General features: G+C 36.7%; 1 annotated feature.

Moving 5' to 3' along the window:
• Window positions 4,670-4,849: an enhancer, noted in NCBI's record as "active region_5330". NCBI's record gives its function as "activates an Ori minimal core promoter by ATAC-STARR-seq in GM12878 lymphoblastoid cells {active_cell/tissue: GM12878}" and the evidence as "EXISTENCE:reporter gene assay evidence [ECO:0000049][PMID:35858748]".

The following is a 6,535-nucleotide window of genomic DNA, read 5'->3' as shown; positions in this document are numbered from 1 at the left end:
GGACACATCCAAACCATATCAACTAGCTACCTCAGGATAGAAATACTATCTAGAAATTCTACTGCCCAGTGTGTATACTTGCCAGGCTCCCTGATCAAGAGACGCAAGTTTATAAACTGTCGTATAATATAAACATTGTACAATATAAATGTATAAACATTTATACAATATAAAATATAAATATGTCTGTTGGTGCTGGACACTGGGAGGATATGGATAATGGAAAAAACAGTAGGTTTGAAATGGACAAGCTCAGAAGTATGTCTGTGTAAGAGTGTATAAAGGCATTTAAATAGTCTGTACGTGGAGATGTTTATATTTGTCAAACTTTAAAATTTCGAATTTAATGGGATTTCTTTTCTCCTGCTAAATAAATAATTACTTGTTAACCTAAATTTATATTTATAATTTTGAATTATTTTCATTAAAGAGATCTCTACCAAAAATGTAGGTGTACTTGAGGCTCCACAAAACTAGGATCTACCTCCGTTTACACATTAATAGTTCAGTGGGGGAGACAGGCTAGTAAACACACAATTAAGATACAAAGTTATTAAGGATAAAAGAAGAGAACCTCAAGTACTATAGGATTATACATGCCAGGAATATAATTCTTACTTGGGAGAAGAGAACAGGTTTCTTGGAGGGAGCGGTGTCAAAGCTGAGATGTTGTCGTGAGCACGAGTTGGCCAAGGTCAACTGTATAGGTCCCTGTGTGTCTATAATTTCTGTATTGGGATTGGAGGAGAGGGGAAAAAATTCACAGGAGGGTAGTTAAAGAGATTTTTCCTTTACCCTTAGACATGAAGGTTTTAAAAATATATGGGGCCGGGCACGGTGGCTCATGCCTGTAATCCCAACACTTTGGGAGTCTGAGGCGGGCGGATCACTTGAGGTCAGAAGTTCAAGACCAGCCTGGCCAACATGGCGAAACCCCATCTCTACTAAAAATACAAAAATTAGCCAGGCATGGTGGCGGGAGACTGTAATCTTAGCTATCAGGATGCTGAGGTATGAGAATCGCTTGAACCCAGGAGGCGGAGGTTGCGGTGAGCTGAGATCGCACCATTGCACTCCAGCCTGGGGGACAGAGCACGACTCCGTGTCAACAAACAAACAAACAAACAAAGTATATGGATGGGGTGGGGTGACATATGGTCAAATTTGCCTACATTTTACAAAGTGATTCCTGAGAAGCATTACTGAGGAATGCCAAGACTTCAGTCATAGAAACCATATTTTATTATGTGTCTTCTATAGCTGTTTCTTTCCCTCTAAGGCAGAGGTCCTTAATTCTCTAAAGGTAGTTTTCAAGGAGCGGTTTCAGAATACTGGGGTACTTAGTGAAGGTTCCTCACTACAGTGAATGGTATCTGGGGTTCCATTCTAAATACCAACACAACCTAGACCACGTGTGGTTCTTTCTCCATCCAGCCATTAATAACTTAATCAATGTTTTTTTAGTCAATCTAGGCTTAATCAAGGGTCAGAAATTCAGACTGATGTATACATTTACTACTATTTTATTTTTTCTGTGGGCTGGAGCAATCAAACTCATCTTCTAAGTTTTCTTCGATTTACAATGTGGGTGGGAAATTCTCCTTTGGAGGGTAGTTTGAGAATAAAAGCATCTGATAAAAAGATTTGGTATAACGAAGCACCCAGAGTCGAGTAGGTGTTCAAATCTGGCATAGTGGCAAGCATCTGTAGTCCCAGCTACTCTGGAGGCCGAAGTGAGAGGATTGCTTGAGGCCAGGAGTTCAAGGATGTAGTAGACTATGAATTGTGCCTGTGAGCAGTCACTGCGCTCCAGCCTGAGCAACACAGCAAGACTCAGCCTTAAAAAAAAAAAAAAAAAAAAAAGCAAGCAAGCAAGAAAAGTGTTTAATAAGTTTGAAATGATTATACACTCAAAAACTTCTACCATTTTTAATGAGAGACTCTATATCTGCTCTCAGGTATTCTTGATGATGTAGTCTTTGGAGAATGACTCTCAGAGGATTTTTTTCCTCTAAATGGAGAATGTTTCTGAATTAATTCACTTAATAAAAAACTAAATAATACCTGGAATTCCATTAAGAGAGTACTTTTACAGGTCATTGAAAGCCTATTTTATATGCCTTCTGAGATACTCCAATATTTACTTAATATTCAGAGATGAACTACACCTTTTAAAGGATATCAGGACCATAACTTCCCCAAGATACTATTCAAGTGTAGCATGATCCTGGATGAAGTTTTGAGAAATGAATTACATATGAATATACGTATCACTCTGGTCTTCATATTGACATCTCTTGGACAAAAGTGACTTTCCAGAATGCCCAATTTTAATTTATTTTTCGTAATGCAACAACAGTTGGCAATGTTTTTGGAGTGTGGAGCCATGGATGTGGTTTGGGACAATATCTGTCTAGCCTACTGCTGTTTCTTCTAATAGTCTTGCTATAAATATTACTGCTTCAGGAATGACTTCCCTTACCCTACAATCAAATCTCTCTCTTTTTGTCACGCTCTGTTGCTCAGGCTAGTGTGTTGTGGTACAATCATAACTCACAGTAACCTCAAACTCCGGGGCTTGACTGATCTTCCCACTTCAGCCTTCAGTGTAGCTGGGGCTACCAGAGTGTGCTACCGTGCCTGGTTCTTTATTTATTTTAATTATTTTAAGGACAGGATCTCATTATGTTTCCCAAGGCTGGTCTCAAATTTCTGGCATCAAGAGATCCTCCTGCCTCTGCCTCCCACGGTCCTGGGATTGTAGGCATGTATCACCACCCACAGCCTGAATCAACTCCCTTTTTATATTCCCTTAGTTCTTGTGTCTTCTCCCTCATTGTCTCTTGTTATGCTTTGTTACCTATAGAACCTGGGTCTGTTTCTCTAACGTATAAGCTTTGAGAGTACAGGCACTAAATCTGATTTTTTAAACACTATATTCCCTTCACTTCTGTCAGTTCATGGCACATAACAGGTGTTCAATAAATACTTAACAAGTGACTCAATGAGTATTGTATAAATGAATATTTAGTTACAAATCAAAGACCACAGCCAGAAAAACTTGCCATCAGCCTTTTAGGATCCATTCAGAAATAGGAAGCTCTTCAAATTTTTAAGCTGAAGAAAGAGGAAACTTTGGGGGAAGCTTCAATAAAGGAAATTATGTGAGAAAAGGATAGAAAAACAATATTGACTTTTCTAAGCCTTGTGCTACCTTAAAAACAAAAATAATGCCATGCACAACTTAGTTTGCTCATCAAATTTTAGCATTTTGTTCACTAAATTGAAAAAATTATACAAACAAGTAAATATTTATAAATTGAATTTACTTTGAGATATTTTTCATCTTTGATATAAATTCAGTCCCAAGCTGCTGAACTTTAAAAATAGCAACACTCTTACCATTTACTGGGTGATGATGATATGCAGGAGAAAACTTGAGCTTGGAAAAAAAATCATCCACGGCACCATAAAAAAGATAACGTTTTTAGGGCGGCTGGCTTGGTGGCCTTTAGTGACAGACACAGAAAGAGGAAGGCGAACCAGAGGAAGCAAATTTACATTTATTGAGCATTTATCACAAGCCAGTCCGTGAGATGGGCACTTTGAATGGATTAATTCATTTAATTTCCATACAATAACTTGGGGTTGATATTCCTATTCCCATTTTTCAAATGAAAATACTGTAATACTGGAAGGCAATTAATTTTTTATAGGACTCCTCTTAGTTAAGACAAGAGAAAGTGGAATTATAACTAACTTTTTCCTAGCCCAGGGCCCAGGGTGATGGCCTCATCATGGCTCAGGCAACCAAAAGAAGCTCTCATTTTTGAAAGAGAAGTTCAGCAACAGCCACATATCCTTGAATCTTTTCCATCCTATGAAAAAAGGCAAGGCCTTCAAAGGCAAAGAGTATATTATCATCTCTATTCTCTTAGGATCTGAACCAGTACTTTCCAATAAAGTGACCTACACGTGGAAATTACATTTTAAAATTAGCTATGTTTAAAAAAGTAAAAAGAAATAGGTAAAATTAATTTTAAAAAGTTTCTTTAACCCCCAAATATATCCCCAACATTATCATTTCAACATATAAACTATGTAACAATATTAAAATACATTCTGTTTCTAAATTTTAAATTCTATATTCTAAATTTTCAAACTGTGATGTTTATTTTATACTTGTAGCATATCTGGACCAGCCACATTTCAAGTCTCAGTAGCCACAGGAGCACTAGTAGCTACCTTTTTGGACAGCACAGATGTGAAGAGTTCCAGGTAGGACTACTAATAAACCATCTCAGGCAGGAAAACATGAGGCCTTCTCATTATAAATATCAACACTGCCATTTATTTCATACAGCTGACCTTCTCCCTGACTCAGTGCTGCATGGAGATCAATAACCTAGGTTTGAAGAATCAGGTTTCCATAAAACTCTGCTCCACCACTTATTGTGTGAGTCATTGAACAAGTTACTTAACATGTCTGATCCTCAGTTTTCTCATTTGTAAAATGGGGAGAATGATGCTTAGCTTATGAGGTGGTGATGAGTTCTGTATGAATCCTCTGGCATGTGGCACTTGCTCCGTAAGTAGAAGTTCTTCAAATTAAAACTGAATCTCATTTTCTTGTGTGTGGACTTTAATAGAGATTGAGTGTACTATTCTTGACACAGAACCCTTAAATAGTTTACTATTCCATACAATGGCCCCACACCTTCCGGATAGATCTTTGTTATCATTCACAGGCCCTTCAGGATATGACATCATCTTGCCTCTCACACTTTCTCTTCTGCTGACCTCCTATGTTCTGTGGCTACAATGGATCCATTTCCATAAATGTATCATGCTTTCTCACACCTCAGTGCTATACCGATCATAGTGAAACTGAGTCATTCAGTCACTCACTCTCCCTTATTTGATAAAAATTGTTACGGGTCTCACACATGTTGATGTATTAATTATGTTTCCAAAAACATTGGAGTTCCTGCAGAATAAACTCTGCAGGCTAATTAGAATAATGGATAACCTTTAAAAAATCCCAATAGTCTACTTACAGATGAATTTGCGCTCTGTAGCATTGAGCTCTTTAAAAAAAAAAAAAAAAAAAAAAAAGCAAGCTCATACAATATCAACTAGAACAAAAGGAAACTATAGCACTTCTACCCACTATTTTCTTCTTCCCTGTGGAAAGAGGTTTTTACAAGTCCCCACATAGTTTTTCTTAGTTTCTTCTGGTATCAGGCTAAATGCATGAGCCTCCTTGCTTTAATTCTAGAAATGCTGGAGGACTGTGGGTGGTTCTTGGGTTTCTTCCTAATGGGGTATATACAATGCCTGCTGCAGTAGCAGCTCTGTGGTTAAAGCCTGGGACTCACAGTGACTCTCTATACTTCTAGCCATCTGGGAAGAGCCAGCTTCCTACCACTTCTCTCCTCAAAGCTGTTATCTTAGAATCAGGGTGTTTATCCTGAAAGAGCATATTTCCTATTTAAAACCCACTCAGAGATGGGATGGAAAATTTTGAGTAGAATTGCTTCAAAAGTTTTTCTTTCTGTAAAAGGCATGCTAAGGAAATCAGAAAATTATTCTCAATGGGTGGTATTGACGGATGTAAATGTACCATTTTATTTGTTGTAGGTTTTGAGCAACAACAAAGCAATATTTGCATTCTGGCTTGGATTTCCCAAAGGGAAGACCAAATCTAGAGTAAGATTATTGCCCACATTGACTGTCTTCTCCTCTCAAAAGTTAGTCAATAAGAAACTAAAGTTTAAGAAATATTTACTAAAATGTTAATCAAAACCTGAATTATAAATTTTAATATCAAAGTAAAAAAACATGGTATTCATATATTTTATAAATGAGGTCACTAACAAACTTGTGTTTGTGTTTATGCAATTTTTGTGCTAGTCTACTATTTAAGAAGTTTTGGCAGAAACCATGGGAAACAGAAGTATAAACAAGTTTGTGTACAATAATTTCAAATTTGTAAAATATTTTACAATTGTTTTAAATTCTTTCTTAATGTTATATTATGATCACATCTGCTTTAAAATATCTGTATTTTGCCTGTGAGAAAGCTAAAGCCTTGAGAATTTAAGTGTTTTTCATGGGAGAACACAAAGTTTTTGGTTGAGCAGTAGATGTCACTTCAGCTAGTCTAACACATCTGTAGGAAAAACTATTTAATTACTAATTATCAATTGATGTGGCTAAGTACCAATTTGTAGATATTCACAAGATTTACTTTAAAAATATAACCTTCTTATTCTTTGGCTAGTGAAAATGAACTGATTTATAAAGGCAAGTGCCTTTGAGGCTATAAGTATGAACTTTATTTCTCAAAGAGATGGTATTTGTTGTACTGGAAAACATTATTTGATGTTGGTGTCTGATTCTCTAATCATGGTGTTACCAATTACTAGCTGGGTTTGACCTTAGAAAATTTCCTGCATGGCTCAGATCCTCACTGTCCTCCTCTGAAAAAAATCAATTCTTGATTCCCTAACTACTTCTTGATAGTTTTATGAAG

The sequence above is a fragment of the Homo sapiens genome, chromosome 11 (assembly GCF_000001405.40).
Source record: "Homo sapiens chromosome 11, GRCh38.p14 Primary Assembly".
In the NCBI taxonomy this organism is placed as follows: domain Eukaryota; kingdom Metazoa; phylum Chordata; class Mammalia; order Primates; family Hominidae; genus Homo; species Homo sapiens.
Note: the sequence above shows the minus strand (reverse complement) of the source record. Positions and strands in the feature narration are given on the sequence as shown.